This window comes from Homo sapiens, chromosome 6, assembly GCF_000001405.40.
Source record: "Homo sapiens chromosome 6, GRCh38.p14 Primary Assembly".
Lineage (NCBI taxonomy): Eukaryota > Metazoa > Chordata > Mammalia > Primates > Hominidae > Homo > Homo sapiens.
Window position 1 is genome coordinate 131,134,913 of NC_000006.12, and position 16,575 is coordinate 131,151,487.

General features: G+C 40.7%; 1 protein-coding gene across 23 annotated transcripts in view, besides 7 other annotated features; it reads left to right on the top strand.

Moving 5' to 3' along the window:
- Window positions 1-16,575, top strand: part of AKAP7 (A-kinase anchoring protein 7) — a 157,906-nt gene that overhangs the window by 9,286 nt on the left and 132,045 nt on the right. For 16 of the 23 annotated variants that reach the window (NR_170717.1, NR_164834.1, NR_170716.1 and 13 more), the window contains exons 1-2: window positions 555-870; window positions 10,373-10,504. Coding sequence is in view for 16 of the 23 variants with exons in the window: in XM_047419568.1 (XP_047275524.1) it covers window positions 582-870; window positions 10,373-10,504 (421 nt within the window). In the remaining 7 variants the exon portion in view is untranslated. Of the gene's footprint in view, window positions 1-554; window positions 871-957; window positions 1,931-2,239; window positions 2,840-10,372; window positions 10,505-16,575 lie in introns of those variants that run through there. The other 7 variants (NR_164833.1, NR_164832.1, NM_001387863.1 and 4 more) reach the window with 7 other exon arrangements.
- Window positions 186-686: an enhancer, noted in NCBI's record as "H3K27ac hESC enhancer chr6:131456238-131456738 (GRCh37/hg19 assembly coordinates)". NCBI's record gives its function as "activates a minimal SCP1, AML or CMV promoter by ChIP-STARR-seq in naive H9 embryonic stem cells {active_cell/tissue: H9 hESC(naive)}" and the evidence as "EXISTENCE:reporter gene assay evidence [ECO:0000049][PMID:30033119]".
- Window positions 513-602: a silencer, noted in NCBI's record as "silent region_17544". NCBI's record gives its function as "represses an Ori minimal core promoter by ATAC-STARR-seq in GM12878 lymphoblastoid cells {active_cell/tissue: GM12878}" and the evidence as "EXISTENCE:reporter gene assay evidence [ECO:0000049][PMID:35858748]".
- Window positions 753-862: a silencer, noted in NCBI's record as "silent region_17545". NCBI's record gives its function as "represses an Ori minimal core promoter by ATAC-STARR-seq in GM12878 lymphoblastoid cells {active_cell/tissue: GM12878}" and the evidence as "EXISTENCE:reporter gene assay evidence [ECO:0000049][PMID:35858748]".
- Window positions 1,123-1,182: an enhancer, noted in NCBI's record as "active region_25063". NCBI's record gives its function as "activates an Ori minimal core promoter by ATAC-STARR-seq in GM12878 lymphoblastoid cells {active_cell/tissue: GM12878}" and the evidence as "EXISTENCE:reporter gene assay evidence [ECO:0000049][PMID:35858748]".
- Window positions 4,792-5,293: an enhancer, noted in NCBI's record as "NANOG hESC enhancer chr6:131460844-131461345 (GRCh37/hg19 assembly coordinates)". NCBI's record gives its function as "activates a minimal SCP1, AML or CMV promoter by ChIP-STARR-seq in primed H9 embryonic stem cells {active_cell/tissue: H9 hESC(primed)}" and the evidence as "EXISTENCE:reporter gene assay evidence [ECO:0000049][PMID:30033119]".
- Window positions 7,016-7,739: an enhancer, noted in NCBI's record as "NANOG-H3K27ac hESC enhancer chr6:131463068-131463791 (GRCh37/hg19 assembly coordinates)". NCBI's record gives its function as "activates a minimal SCP1, AML or CMV promoter by ChIP-STARR-seq in naive H9 embryonic stem cells {active_cell/tissue: H9 hESC(naive)}" and the evidence as "EXISTENCE:reporter gene assay evidence [ECO:0000049][PMID:30033119]".
- Window positions 8,463-9,186: an enhancer, noted in NCBI's record as "NANOG-H3K27ac hESC enhancer chr6:131464515-131465238 (GRCh37/hg19 assembly coordinates)". NCBI's record gives its function as "activates a minimal SCP1, AML or CMV promoter by ChIP-STARR-seq in primed H9 embryonic stem cells {active_cell/tissue: H9 hESC(primed)}" and the evidence as "EXISTENCE:reporter gene assay evidence [ECO:0000049][PMID:30033119]".

The following is a 16,575-nucleotide window of genomic DNA, read 5'->3' on the forward strand; positions in this document are numbered from 1 at the left end:
TTTTTAAACTAAGTAAATTTCTTTTTCTCCCAATTTACTCACTGCAGTACCTTATACTACAAGAACCAGCAACTGGTTTCCTCTTAATGTCTAAACATAACATCATTGTTAAAAATTAGAGACTTTGTCACAATTTGCAGTTTTTAAAAGTAAGGTAAATAAAGTATCTCATTATACAGAAGTACAAGGTCTCGTTCTTGTACATTTCGCTCTTCCCAAATATTCTGCAATCAGAACCCTGATTGCAAAACTAAGCACATGGATTCTCAAAAGACACCAGGCCAGAGAATTCTTTCATCCTAGTCCCAATCTCGCCCTTGAAAGCGTGGGAGGGGCAAGGCTGCGCCACGGGAAATAAATGAGGGCTGCCAAAGGCCGTCGGAGGCCGCGGGGCTCGGCAGGCAGGCGAAGACCCAGCGTCGCATTGCAGAGTCGAGACGACCTGGGCTGCCGTGACGCCGCAGTCGCCGGCCCTAGTTTCCCCCGCCCTGCCCGAGCGCGTCCGCGCCTCTCGCCCGAATCCGGGTACCACCGGCGACTCGGGTCGGCCCCTTCTGGCTTGTTCCGGCGTCCGGCCTGGCATGCGGGTGCTGCGGCTGCTGCGGCTGCCGCCGCCGCTGCTGCCGCTGCCGCGGGGGCTGCGGCTTGGGAAGCTCCGCGCTTCCGCAGGCCTGGCCTCCGCCGCCCGGGCCCCCGCAGCCTGTCGCTGGACCCCGCGCCGGCCCAGCGCACCGCCCTCAGGCCCCGAGCCCCGCCCTGGCCTCCGCCTCGGCCTCGCCTCCAGCCCCGGGACGCGGCCCGCCACCGCCGCTGCCGCCAGCCCAGACGCGCCGCCCGCATGCGCCGCGACCATGGAGCGCCCCGAAGCGGGTGAGACCGGGCTGTCCAGCGGGCCGGGGCGGGGGCGACAGGAGCCGCGGGGGCCTGGGCCTGCTCTGCGCTCGAACTTTGGGAGGGCCTGACCCGCGCCGGCCCTTCTCCGAGTCTCCCTCCTTCCCAAAAGGACTCAGGGTAGCACCGAGAAGCCCGGTGCAACCGGGGTGTACATCAGTGCTGCCTGTAGCGAAGCGTTTTAATGCACGCATTGTGGGTCCGACAGGAGGCGGGGGTATGAGCCCATCCCCGAGTTTCACTTTTCTTTCTCCCTTTCTCATCCTGTGACCCTTTGCACAAAGTTCATGCCAGTACACATTCCTTCCGACGGTGTTGATGTGGGTAAATGTAAACAAAACCTAGTAAAATTTCGATTTTATCTTATATCACAAATATTAAGCACCCGAACCACCATACTGTCTCATTTAGGATTTTCTGCCAGGTTTGGACATGACCGCTTTTAAAACTGGCGCCAAGTCTACACTAGCGCCCGGAATGAATTTCCAGTTTAGGTCAGCGTTTGTTGTGAACTGAACTTTGTGATAGAGCGAGTTAGGGGTGGACTTTCGGTAAAAGGGTCCGCAAACCAATTAGAGAAAAGGTGCTCCTCTGCAAGAGTTTCATAGGATAAACTCATAGAAGAGTATAAAAAGCATAAAAACGTTAAAGTGTACTATATAAATAGCAGTTAATCGTGTGAATATGTTGACAATTGTTAAGTGAATGATGACAGTGAGTTTTTGCATTTAGGAAATGCATGGGAATGGAAATTGTTAAGGAGAAAAGAGCCATACTCCAGTTCCTTGTTTAAGTGCCGTGGCTTTGCAATTCAGGATCCTGTTAGCATATCTGTATATTTTCCTTACTCATAAAGTTTAAGATGTTTGTGGAGGTTACTTCCTCCTTTCATCCATTTTCGGACACTATTAACTTGTTTTGTCCATTTCTCCCTAATAATTTGGATTTTACTTTTGTTCCCTTTTTATGAGGAGGAAAGGAAAGCCTGGAGGTCAAGTAACTTGTTGATTTCTACGCAGCTGTCAACATTTACTAACGTGTAAGATGCTAATACTATTTTTAGTAGCTAAGCCAGGACTAGAATGGATGCCCTTAGCCCTTTCCAGTTGTTCTTAGGAATAAACTTATTTATGTATGTACTTATGTATGTATGTATATATGTATATATGTATTTAGAGACAGGGTCTTCCTCTGTTGGCTCAGGTGGAAGTGCACTGGCGCGATCATGGCTCACTGCAGCCTAGATCGGCTGGGATCATGCCAACCTCCTGTTTCAGCCTCCCCAAGTAGCGGGGACTACAGGTCTGTGCCAACATGCCTGACTAATTTTTGTATTTTTTTTTTTGTAGAGACGGGGTCTTGCCATGTCACCAAGGCTTGAACTCCTGGGCTCAAGCAGTCCTTCTCTGAGTGCTGGGATTACACGTGTGAGCCAACTTGCTCAGCTGGGATAAATTTACTATTTACCTAGTAGAGTGATGAGAGACTTACTTCACAAAATTGAGTAGTCATTTATTATCCAGTTAGGAAACCTGCATTTTGTGTGACAGTGGGAGAACTCTCCATACCCTTTTCTCTCTCTTTTTTTTTTTTTTAGAGGCAAGAGTCTCGCTCTGTCGCCCAGGCTGGAGTGCAGTGGCACAATCTCGGCTCACTGCAACCTCCGCCTCCCAGCTTCAAGCGATTCCCCTGCCTCAGCCTCCCGAGTAGCTGGGACTATAGGTGTGTGCCACCACGCCCGGCTAATTTTTTGTATTTTTAGTAGAGATGGGGTTTCACCGTGTTAGTGAGGATGGTCTCTATCTCCTGACTTCGTGATCTACCTGCCTCGGCCTCCCAAAGTGCTGGGATTACAGGTGTGAGCCACCTCACCCGGCCCACCCTGTTGGCCTGTTTTTGATGAAGGCATTTGCTTCACCTGTATTTGAATATTTGCATATATTTAAAGGTATGGTTTTATAATATACTTAAAATGTATGTATTGTTTTTCTTAGGTAATATTCAATTTTGAAACGTTTGAATAGCAGAAATGAGAAACATGAATATATTCAATATAGTTGTCAGCATTTACAAGCAGTTTATACTGTTTAGCCTTTGGCCACATAATTGTAAATCATAGAGCATATGCAATTTTATATCTCCTTTCTAAAAACTTGGCATTTGTTGTTAGCTTTTTTCTGTCATTGCATTCTTCATAGTCATTGTTCGTAGTTGTCATTGTCGCGAGCATGCTTCGTTTAACTGTTTCCCTATTTTTTTCATTGTTTCTATTTCATTGTACCCAGTCACCATCCATGTTCCCCCCACCCGTTCCACCACCCTCCCCAGCCTCTGGTAACCATTCTTCTATTCTCTATCTCCATGAGTTCAAATGTTTTAATTTTAGTTCCCACAAATAAGTGAGAACATAGAAAGTTTGTTTTTCTATGCCTGGCTTATTTCACTTAACATAAGGATCTCCAGTTCCATCCATGTTGCAAATGACAGGATCTTATTCTTTTGTATGGCTGAATAGTACTCCATTGTATATATGTACCATATTTCCTTTTTCCATTGGATAACCTTAGTTATCCAACACTTAAATTGCTTCCAAATCTTGGCTATTGTACCATTTCCTTGTTATTAGGCATTTAAGTTTTGTTCCACTTTTCCTTTTTTGTTTAAATAAAGCTGTGGTGAATCTTTGAGCATGGATGATAGATAACCAGAGAGCAGTAAGAAGAACATCGGAAGAATATTTCTGTGGCTTCTGGTCTATTGCCAGATTGCTTTCTGAAAGGATTGCCTCCGTTTACATTGCTATAGTCAGTGTATAATAAGGTGGCAGTGTGTGGTGCCAGAAAGGGCATAATGGTAATAGAGTGACTGGATTCCAGTTCCAGCCCCAAGACCCACTAGTTTTACCCTTGAGCAAGTACTTATTTAATCAGTTAGTTTGTAAAATGAGCATCATAATAGTACCTCTCCATAGTGTGGTTGTGTGGATTAAATGAGTTCCTCCCAGTGCTTCCAGCTGTGCCTGGCTTCAAGCATGCACTTAAATGTTAGCTGTTGTTAGTAGTAGTAACAGACATATTAATAGTTTACCAGCTTCACCTCATCTTTATGTTATTAATGCATTTGGAAGCATAACTTTTATTTGGATTTATACAAAAGATAGAATTTTAACTATGGTTAGAACAAATTGTAGGAGACTTTTAAGTACTCAACCCAATGAACTTAAAAGAGTTTAAATGCTTTAAGAGTTGGTTATTTTAAGGCAGTTTTCCAAAAGCAAAATATTTATACCTTCTATAAGAGAAAGTGTAGTTATGACTGGTGTATTTAATTCACATCTACCAACCTTTGCCCAAACACTAGAGCTTAGAGAACTGGAGGAAGTGTTCTAAATATTTGGTTTGAGAAACATTGTTCTATAGAATGACCAGCAGTTCTTTCAAGACTTATTTGAAAGTGGCACTCCTTTTTTTTGAGTTAATAATTCCTATCTCAAAAATTGTTGAGTTAATAATTCCTATTATTCTATAGCTTAAGAGAAGATAGTTGTTTGTATTTCAAGTTCTAGACTCCTGTGGATTTTGATGTAACATTGCATTTGAGTTTAATATGCTTTATTTAGCAAGGTAAAGAATGATGTTGAACAAGTTATATTATGCTTTAATTTTTATTTTCATGTCAAATGGGATACTAGTACTTTTCCTTTATTCATCTGGTGAAAATGAGAGAATCTGTGTTGTGCTGAGGCTGCCACTAAATACCAGGAATTATTTTTCATGGGCAGTGAGATAGCTGTATTGCATTGTAGCTATCTACACTAGCTACTAGTGACTTACTAACCACTCTCAAATGTGGACTTACCTTTATCACATTTATTCATTCAGTAAAAATTTATTGAGCACCTATTGTGAGCTGAACTCAGTGCTAGGCATGGAGGAATCAAAGGAGAATAAGACAAGGCTTTTAAGGAACTTCGACTATGGTGACGACACATGATGGAGTGCAGTTATAGGAAGTTGTCCCTTTCACTTTCAAAAGTGTCCTGGTTTGGTGAATTGTATGGTCACTTTACCTTAGAATCTAATGGATAAGACAGATAAACGGACATGTATAACATAAAGTATACATGCAGTGATTGGAGGAAGCACTAGGTGCCTAGAAGATTGGATTACCTAACTCAGCCCTGAGCTGGCGATCTGCAAGGTTTTCCCTGACGGTAGAGGTCTGATCTAAGGTTTTACTTTGAAGTTGATTGTTCTTAACTGTTCACACAATCTCTTAGTCTGGTGTGAGGTCAAGGTATAGAAGAAGTGAAAGGGGATCTTCTGGAGCAGTGGTTTTCAATTGGAAAACCACTCTTGCACATCGGAATTACTCTGCAGAGGTTTAAAAAAATACCAGAGGTTGGCCTAATCTCCAGAGATTCTGATTTAATTGGCTGGAGTGACACACATGCGTTCTAGTGATTTTTTTTTTTTAAAGCTCTGCAGGTGATTCTAATGTGCAGTTACTATTATTACCATTGTTACCGTGTGATTCTCTCTTTGGTATAGCCAGAATGAAGTCCATAGCACTTGCTCTCTAATTGTTGGTGATTAATTGAGCTCAGGAGAAACCAAAAGTTAAGCGATTTTGCGAACTTTTCTTATTTAAAAATTGACTTAATTTAATTCATCATTGTATTCTTTCTTTTGCCTTCAAAATGTGTTGAAGCCCAAAATTAAGTTTCCTCTCCCTCACTTATTGCTAAGAATCTGTATTTCCAAGTAGCACAAGAACTTGGAAGCTAGTAGTGAGATGACGGTGTTAAATAGGTCAATTTTTTATCACTAAATTCTTAGATTGAGAATAAAATAGAGGAAAAACAATGGTTGGGTTTATTTCATTTTGTTCTGATTTTCATTCAGCCTTGTTTCTATTTAGTTGCATGTTTTATTACTAGCTTTTCAAGTGTAACATACATGGTCAGTGGTGATCCTTTATGTGTAGCTGCATGTGCCCAAAGGTACAGGATGTGTATTCATCTATGAAAACTTTTATTTAAGCCTAAGCTGCATTTGTGTTTTTAAAACACAAGCATAAAAATAGAAAAGAGGCATTTAACTTGTTCTCGCATTTTTCACATATTTGCAAGTTTATGAATAGACTCATAGTGAACTGACAGTTGTTGAACACCTGTGTATGAGGCATTCATAATTCCTAAAATTTGAACTGTAATATAAATAGTAACATTATTAAGAATGTACTATTAGGGTTTTTTGGCATTGAACTTAATTAATTAAAAAAGGCTTTGTTGTTTTTTGCTTTTATCCAGAATATAGTAATATAGTTTGGATATTTGTCCCTTCAAATCTCATGCTGAGATGTTATCCCCAGTGTTGGAGGTGGGGCTTGGTGGGAGGTGTTTGGGTCATGGGGTGGATCCCTCATGAATGGCTTGGTGCCCTCCCTGTGATAATGAGTTCAGAAGAGATCTAGTTGATTAAGAGAGGCTGCCACCTCCACCTCTCTGTCATGGTCCTTTTCTCACCATGTAACACATTGGCTTCCCTTTGCCTTCCACTATGATTATAAGCTTCCTGAGGCCTTCACCAGAAGCAGATGCTGGTAATATGCTTTGTGTAAAGCCTGCAGAACTCTGGGCCAAATAAACTTTTCTTTAGTAATTACCCAGCCTCAGGTATTCCTTTACAGCAATGCAAATGGACTGAGATAGAAAATTGGTACTAAAGAGCAGGGTGTTGCTGTAAAGATACCTGAAAAGGTGGAAGTGGCTTTGGAACTGGGTAATGGGCAGGGGTTAGAAGAGTTTGGAGGGCTCAGAAGAAGACAGGAAGATGAGGGAAGGTTTGGAACTTCTTAAAGACTGGTTAAGTGGTTGTGACCAAAATGCTGATAGAAATATGGACAGTGAAGGCCCATCTGACAAGGTTGGAGATGGATATGAGGAAGTTATTGGGAACTGCAGTTAACGTCTCTATGTTATGCCCTAGCAAAGAATTTGGCTGCCTTGTGTCCATGCCCTAGGGATCTGTGGAAGTTTGAACTTAGAAGTGATGACTTAGAGTATCTGATAGAAGAAATTTCTTTCTTTCTTTCTTTTTTTTTTTTTTTTTTTGCAACAGGGTCTCACTCTGTCACCCAGGGTGGAGTGCAGTGGGAAGAAATTTTTGAGCAGCAAAGCATTCAAGAAGTGGCATGGCAGCTTCTGATGACCTACAATCAGATATGGAAGCAAAGGAATGACTTAAAGTTGCTTTCCTTATAATTAAAAGGGAAGCAGAGCACAAAAATTTGGAAAATTTGCAGCTTAGGCTTGTGGTAAAGAAGCAAAAAGCATTTTCAGGAGAGGAATTGAAGTGGGCTGTGAAGGAACCACTTGCTAGAGAGATTAGCATGACTAAAATGGAGGCAATTCCTAATAGCCAAGACAATGGGAAAAAGGCCTTGAAGGGATTTCAGAAATCTCCAGGGCAGCTTCTCCGATCACAGACCTGGAGGCCTAGAATGGTTTTAGGGGACAAGCCCAGGGGCATGCTGCCATGTGCAGCCTGGGGACACTGCTCCCCACATCTCAGTTTCTCCACCTCCAGCTGTGGCTCAAAAGGCCCCAGCGACAGCTCTGGTCACTTTGGAGAGCACAAGCCACTGTAAGCCTTGGGGGCTTCCATGTGATGTTAAGCCTGCAGGTGCACAGAATAAATGCAAGAGTGAAGGAGGCATGGCAGCTTCCACCTAGATTTCAGATGATGTACCAGAAAGCCTGGGTGCTCAGGCAGAAGCCTGCTGCAGCAGTGGAGCCCTCACAGAGAAACTCTCCTAGGGCAATGCTGGGGGGAAATGTGGGATTGGAGCCCCCACCCAGAGTCTCCACCAGGGCACTGCCTAGTGGAGCTGTGGGAAGGGGGCTGCCACCTTCCAGACCCAAGAATGATACAGCCACTGGCAGCTTACACCCTGAGCTTGGAAAAGCTGCAGACATTCAATTCCATCCTGTGAGAGCAGCCACAGGGGCTTCACCTTGCAAATCCATAGGGACAGAACTGCCTAAGGCTTTGGGAGCCCATGTCTTGCTCCAGTGTGCCCTGGATGTGGGACATGGAGTTGAAGGAGAGCTTTGGAGCTTTAAGGTTTATTGTCTCCCCTGCTAGGTTTTGGACTTATGTGGAGCCTGTTGCCCCTTTCTTTTGGATTTCTCTCTTTTGGAATGGGAGTGTTTACACAATACCTGTACCACCTTTGTATCTTGGAGCTGAATAACTTCTTTTTGATTTTACAGGCTCATAGGTGGAAGAAACTTACCTTGAGTCTCAAATGAGACTTTGGACTTTTGAGTTAATGCTGGAACGAGTTGACCTTGGGGGACTATTGGGAAGAGATGATTATATTTTGCAGTGAGATTTAGGTGGCCAGGGGCAGAATGATAATAGTTTTTATGTTTGTCTCCTCCAAATCCCGTGTTGAGATGTAATCCCCAATGTTGGAGATAGGGCTTGGTGGGAGGTGTTTGGGTCATGGGGGCAGATCTCTCATGAATGCCTTCGTGCCCTCCCTGCAGTAATGAGTTCATGTGAGATCTGGTTGCTTAAAAGAGGCTGGCATCTCTGCCTCTCTGTCTTGCTGTTTTTCTTGACGTGTGACATGTTGGCTTCCCTTTGCCTTGCACCATGATTTTAAGCTTCTTGAGGCTCTCACCAAAGCAGATGCTGGCACTGTGCTTTGTGTGCAGCCTGCAGAACTGGGAGCCAAATAAACCTCTTTTGTTTGGAAATTACCCAGCCTCAGGTATTCCTTTATAGCAATGCGAATGGACTAATACAACAGGGGTGTGTGTGTGTGAACAATAGTAGAGATTAATCAAATTGCAGTAAAAATGTGTGTTTTTTGGCTTGTATGTTAACTGTGGCCTATCATCATAGCCATGTTGTAGCCATATTCTTTTTTTTTTTTTATTTTTTATTTTTTATTTTTTATTTTTTTATTGATCATTCTTGGGTGTTTCTCGCAGAGGGGGATTTGGCAGGGTCATAGGACAATAGTGGAGGGAAGGTCAGCAGATAAACAAGTGAACAAAGGTCTCTGGTTTTCCTAGGCAGAGGACCCTGCGGCCTTCCGAAGTGTTTGTGTCCCTGGGTACTTAAGATTAGGGAGTGGTGATGACTCTTAACGAGCATGCTGCCTTCAAGCATCTGTTTAACAAAGCACATCTTGCACCGCCCTTAATCCATTTAACCCTGAGTGGACACAGCACATGTTTCAGAGAGCACAGGGTTGGGGATAAGGTCACAGATCAACAGGATCCCAAGGCAGAAGAATTTTTCTTAGTACAGAACAAAATGAAAAGTCTCCCATGTCTACTTCTATCCACACAGACCCGGCAACCATCCGATTTCTCAATTTTTTCCCCACCCTTCCCGCCTTTCTATTCCACAAAACCGCCATTGTCATCATGGCCCATCCCCAATGAGCCGCTGGGCACACCTCCCAGACGGGGTCGTGGCGGGGCAGAGGGGCTCCTCACTTCCCAGTGTAGCCATATTCTTAATGGACTATGTTTTACAGGTATTGTATCTGAAAATAGAGTATTACAAGAGAATGAATTAAAGGACTTCTTAAACATCTTGAGTGGTAAATTAGTCTTTAGTAAATATGTAGAGTAAAAATTATATTAGTATTCCAGGATTCTGTTCAATCTTATTAGTTCGGACAGCATTTGTGTCTGTCAATAAAGGCATGGGTTATAATGGCACTGGGGAGACCACCATCTGATAAATTTAGCAATTAACTTTATCAATTTAAACATACACCTTCTTTCTCTTACCTCCACCCAAGGTATATGATTGTTCTACCCATAGCAAGAAAACAAAAAAAGACCAAATAGGAAATATGGCTTTAAAGTTAGTATATCACCATGGGAGAGGAGTTAGGGAAACTGTAAGATCATTTGCTTTTTAATAATTGAATTTTCAGAAAAGCATATTTAGAACCATGTATTTTTAACTAAATATCCAGTGTTAAATATAATGATGGAGAGAAACAACTTAAAAGTCTTTATTGAAGAAAAAATTATAGGCCAGAACTTGTACAAATAAGAACACATAAGTGATATTGCTAAAAATAAGAATGAGAATGACTGACAAACCTTGCTGGTTGTTTTAAAAGGTACGTGAAAAAACGTAGTTTTAGAATTAAAATATAGCTGTAAAAGATCTTGAGGATTATTGATTGACTCAGTTTTCATCTAATCATACATTGAATACTGTGTTTTAGAAAATGATTAAAGCTTTATAAGTGTACAAAAATATAGAGTGTGGTATAAATGTTTATATAAATAGCTTTATGATATATTTGAACACAAGTAGTACATTTCTTAACAGATGTTAATTTATATTGAAATCAGTGAGCTGAGTTATTTTCATTTAGGATATGTTTAAATAATGACAAGTTAAATAATCCTTTTTTTTCTGTTTGTGATATGTTAAAGGAGGAATTAATTCCAATGAGTGTGAAAATGTATCAAGAAAAAAGAAAATGTCAGAGGAATTTGAAGCCAATACTATGGATTCTCTGGTAGACATGCCATTTGCTACTGTAGATATTCAGGATGACTGTGGAAGTAAGTACTTTATTAAGTAAACGCGTATTTAGAAGCAATGAGTAGTAAATTTAGTTATATATATATTTTTTTCTTTATAAGTTGTTTCACTTTTAATACTTATGTTTTTGAGTTTTAATTTTGATTTCATTTCATTTATTCTAGTTTTTTGAGACACAGTCTTGCTCTGTCATCTAGGCTGGAGTGGTGTGATCACAGTTCACTGCAGCCTTGACCTGCCAGTCTTAAGTAATCCTCCCACCTCAGCTTCCTGGTGGGAGGTAGCTGGGACCACAGGCATGTGTGGCACCATATGTGGCTACATTTTTATTTTTCTTTGTAGAGGTGGGGTCTTGCCATGTTGCCCAGGCTGGTCTCAAACTCCTGGGCTCAAGCCATCCTCCTGCCTTGGCCTCCAAAAGTGCTGGGATTACAGATGTGAATGATCGTGCCGCGCCAAGTCTTGTTTTTTATTTAATAGTTGTCTATATCTATTGGTATAATAATAATAATGTTATATTCATATATAATAATATCTGTGATAAAATAATCACAGATAATATTGACGTGTGTCACAAAATGTTGAGCCAGCTACTTCTGAAAATAATGGGATAGATAATGCCCTTGATTATTGTGGAGCCACTGCTAATTTCAGCAGTACCCATTTATCTAACACATGTTTACTAGCTGTTTGGTATCCTCTAAGCACTTTGCTAGGCATTGAGAGGGTCCATCAGTGAACAAGATGGGCATTATCACTGCCCCAAAGGAGCTCAACAGGTTAATAGTGAGAACAGGTCAACTTTTAATTAAATGTTCATGTATTGGATCAATTCAGTCTTTGAGAGCTTCATTCACAAACTTTAAAGCAACAATGCTTACTTGATTGAAATACTGCTGGAATTACATAAATATCCAAATCTGTGTTTTGGCCAGATGCGGTGGCTCATGCCTGTGTTCTTAACACTTTGGGAGGCTGAGACGGGAGGATAACTTGAGGCCAGGAGTTTGAGACCAGCCTGGTCAACATAGGGAGACCCCCATCTCTATTTTAGTAAAATAAATAAATTAAAAAAAAATCTGTTTTATGTCATTGTAAAAACAACACTGTCCATGATATTTGGGTTTACCTTCACTGAAAATGTTAAAGATTTGACTATTGTCCAGGTTACTTGTGGGGAGGAAAATAAGGAAAAGCGTCAATATGTTTGGATGTTTATTGACTACATACTCTGCGCCATTCAACTGTTTGCAACCTTACGTAAAGCCTTGCTGTGGTTTGATATGCTTTTTTCATGACTAGGGCTCTGTGGCATAACAAATCATCTGCTTTAGTCTCTTCATTTTGAGAAAAGAAAACTGACTTAGAGAAGTTAAGTAAATTAAATTCACACGGTGGGAAAGAACTAGTTGTAGAATCTGGTTTCTGATTTGTTAGTCATTTCTTTGATGAACATTTATAGCCAGGCATTGTGCTGGACATTGGGAATATTAAAACACACAACAGTCTTGAACGTCAAGAAGCTCCCAGCTTCATTGGGGAGCCAATCTGTTGACAGCTATCATCTCATAAGATGAATGCCATACAGGCTGCTCTGGAAGTGCATGACGTGAGGATGTGTTCAGGGAGGCATCTAACCTGGGTGTGGGAGGAGAGGGTGTCCATGAAGCCTTTCTAGGTGTTTGGCAAGAGTAGAGGCTTGGAGGATGAGTATGAACTATTCAGTGCTCTTGAAATTATCTGACCATCAGAATTTTCTGCAGAGTGATGTAAAAGCACAGATTCTTCTTTTTCAACCTTTGCATCCTGCCAGGGAATCTTTTTGTTTAAAAATTTTTTTAAACATCTCAAGTAATTCTGATGCTCAGCCAGTCTCAGAAACCACACTACTCTTTATCACACTGTCTTCTGGAGGCAGTGAACCTGACTTGTATTTTGGGAAGATGTGAACTTAAAACGATTAAGTCTTTGGTATTTTATTAAGCAGTCTTTCCCATTCCATAATCCAAGGGGGAGAAGGAATCAGGAAGAGGTGTTTCCTATATTTTCCTTTACAACTGCCCCGTAGAGCAGAACCATGTTTGTGAGTTTCACGGCTGTTGGGGAAACCTTCACTGAAGAATTTTCATACCTGTTAATTAGAAGATACTCTTAGAAAAAAGTGAGAATAGCAAGGATTTAATGTTTTCCTCTTAATATCCTACTTGTTGAACAAATAAAATGAATATGTTTAAAAAATTCAATCACTTCTTTCTGATTTCATTACTTTCTCTAATTTGGATATAAATAAAGAAGGCTTCTCATGAATAGCCATGCCCTGTGTGCCCACCATGGGCCTCACTCACCCGCGTTCTCCCTGTGAGCCTTGTTCCAGTCTCTGAATCACTCCCATTGGAGTGCATAAGTTAGATTGGAACAAGGGATGAGTCTGTTCATTCTTCCAGCTGCAGGCACTTCTGATTTATACATAGCTTACATATATCTAATGTATATGAACACATAGCTTCTACTAGCGATGGAAAGCAAGATACTGCCAGAATCCCAGAGAGCAAATAGTGTTTCTGTAGTCACCATATTCTTATATCTCTACTGTTAGGGAGATTAACAGCCATTGGGACCAGAAAGAAGGAAGGGGCTGGATGTGTTTGTGGCATGCATTTCATTCCTGCTCTGAAAGCAACAGCTGTTTCCTCAGAGGATGTGCATTGGAGGGATGGCCAGTTCTTCATATGAACAGGATCTTTTCTCTCTAGGATATGATATATTTTTTACCAAAGAAGTGATGTTATCTATGTATACTAGGGGCTCAGGCCAGTCCACAAAAGTCTACTTTTAACTAATATATACGCTTTTTGATAATTCAGGCTTTATGAGTTAAAAGTCTTTGTGGGTTAGTCTAGACTGCAAACCACCATGTATTATATGACTTTTGTGGGAAGATGGATTGAAAATTCCAGGCTCCAACTTATACATGGGCAGCGTGGTGCAAAGGGAAAAACAGAAAACTTGTGTTTTACGTTTTGGTTACTTCATTATCTACTTGGACCTTTGACACTTAAAGTGTGGATAAAAATTCCCCCCCCCGTTTATCTCATAGTGTTGCTTTCTGGCTAAAAAGAGATAATGTATGCAAGAAAGAAGCTAAAAATGTAAAATAACGAATAAATGTTATTTATAAAACCTTTGAAACGTACCCCTTAGTTATTTGGGGACAACTTACTCTCTCAGTTTTATAATAGCATTTACTAAAACACTAAGGAACAAATAGTACAATTCTTTGCAAACCAGAAACTACTAACTAGTTTTTCTGAAGTGAGATTTTTATAGGAATGTACAAAAACTGGGAGTTTTATTGCCAACCCTTAAACCGTAAGAAAGGTATAATAATAGTGTTTGTGCCTGAAACACAATATAATTAGTTTGTGGCTTGAATGGACTGAATTTGGCTTTCTTGTACATTTAGTAATCAGTCTACTCATTTGCTCCATGGTAGATGGCAACCTCAAAATTCTCAGGTTGTTTGTTGCCTATGATTCCTTCAGTTTTCTTTGACGTGTGGAAATTGCGAGTTAACTGCCAAGAAATTCTTGCTAATAGACACCCTGGCAGAGCAATGAGGAAAGTAGTGCTAACAAAAACATCATGGGAAGGGGAATCCTTGGCAGTAGGAAAACTCCCCTTGAAACGGTTAGTGTCTCTCGATTGTCAGCTGCGTTGCCTTCAGTGCGAATGTGGTATCTTGATTAGGCAGCATGTGGTCTGGTTGGGTGAGATGGGTCTTTTCTTCAAAACTAACCAAAACATGTAGAGACTTTTATTAGGGTTATAGTTTAGAATGTTATAACTAAAAATTAGAAGATAACATGCATTAGAACTAAATATGAGAATATAAAAGTATATTAGAAGTAAAATATCCAAATGCATGTACAATGGAAATCTTTTAGAAATGATGGGGAGGCTGGGTGCCATGGCTCACACCTGTAATCCCAGCACTTCGGGAGGCCGAGTTGGGCGGATCTTTTGAGGTCAGGAGTTTGAAACCAGCCTGGCCAACATGGTGAAATCCCGTCTCTACTAAAAATACAAAAATTAGCGGGGCATGGTGGCACGTACCTGTAAGCCCAGCTACTAGGGAGGCCGAGGCCGGAGGATTGCTTGAATCTGGTAGGCAGAGGTTGCAGTGAGCCGAGATTGCGCCACTGCACTCCAGCCTGGGCAACACAGCCAGACTCTGTCTCAAGAAACAAAACAAAAAAGAAATGATGAGGAGACAGTACAACCTGTGCCACACCTTTGGCTCCATAGGGTGGACACGTTTTAGGAGAAAATCCAGCTTAGTGCCTGGTTGACTTGGATGGGGTCTTTGCTGTTTACAAGGGAAATGTTGTGGGTCAGTTGATTATAAACCCAGTAAACCATCCAGGAAAGCATTTGGGTTGCTACTGTTCTGCATTCAAAAGTAGAATGGAGAGTCATTCTGCTGTTGGGAATAGCTTAGTATGCTTCCCACAGTGTGACTTTGTGGAGAGTTTTAGTTTAATTGATTCTAGTCTCTTAAAGGAATCACAGTTCTTAACTATCAGGCCACATTTATCGAATTTATTTAGGGATGGGATCTCACTATGTTGCCTAGGCTAGTCTCAAACTCCTGGGCTCCAGTGATCCGCCCACCTCAGTCTCTTGAGTAGCTGGGAAAACAGGTATGCACCACTATGCCTGGTCTTAAGCCACATTTAAATAAAATCTTTTGATTTTCTTTTTTTTGTGTGTCATGTCTTCCCTAAATGTGGAATTCAGTTCTCCTTATAGTAAAATGCTTATAATTCTTATTTTACCTCACACAGAATTCTACTCTGTAATAACTGAAGATTTTGGAGATATGGGAAATCGTAATTTTGCTACTTATTAATCCTAACAAGTTGTTACATTTAAAAAATACTTAGATTTTAAACATCTTAAAATATAAATTGAAACTTACCTTCACCTAAAACTTTTTTATACAAAAATGCTATATCAAATAAAGATCGAATCTTTGTACTTGATATAGTAGGTGGTTACCCTGAGTCAGTTAAGAAAATAAAAGATAAATTGTTTTCTGCATCCTCTATAATTAATTGGGGAAGCATATACTGCATATTCCAAATGTTATTATGAAAGAGGTTAAGGCAAATATCTGCCCCAAATAACATAAATGATTAATATCTTTTATTTTGTTAAAAAAATAAGAAAATGAATAAAAATTGGAACAAGCCCAATCACTAAATTAATACAACACATATTTATTGAGTGTGTTATGTACCAGGTACTGTTATTGGTGCTGAGCTGAGGACAGTTAGTTCAGCTAGTGTGTACTTTTTCCAGGCTCAAGTTCATTCATTATCGATGACATTGACATTGGCATAATAATGGTAGCTGTCTCACAGGATTGTTGGAAAGATTCAATTCCTCAATACATGTGAAGTCCTTAAAACGTAACTAGCCTCAGTACATTTTCATTAATTTAGTTTCACCAGGTTTTTTCTTACATATATTTGCTAAATTATTTATAAAACATTTCCCTTTAAGAGAAATATTTTATAATAATAATATTGAGCTCCTCCAGCACATTGCTAAATGCTTTACATTTTCTCACATAATCCTCTTAGAATTTTTTTTTTGTTTTTTGAGATGTAGTCTGGTGCTGTCACCCAGGCTGGAGTGTAGTGGTGTGATCTCAGCCCACTGCAACCTCTGCCTCCTGGGTTCAAGCAATTCTTCTGCCTCAGCCTCCCGAGTAGCTGGGATTACAGGTGCCCACCACCACACTCAGCTAATTTTTGTATTTTTAGTAGAGACAGGGTTTCATCATGTTGGTCAGGCTGGTTTCAAACTCGTGGGCTCAAGTGATCCACCTGCCTCAGCCTCCCAAAGTGCTGGGATTACAAGCATGAGCCACTGCACCCAGCACATAATCCTCATAGAAACTTAAAGAGGGAGAAGGTAAGGTTTTTTTTTTTTTTAAGAAAATTTTAGTAATTTGCCAAAGATTATTGAGATACTAAAGGGGAATAATTCTGTGAAATATATGGCCGGGTGTGGTGGCTCACGCCTG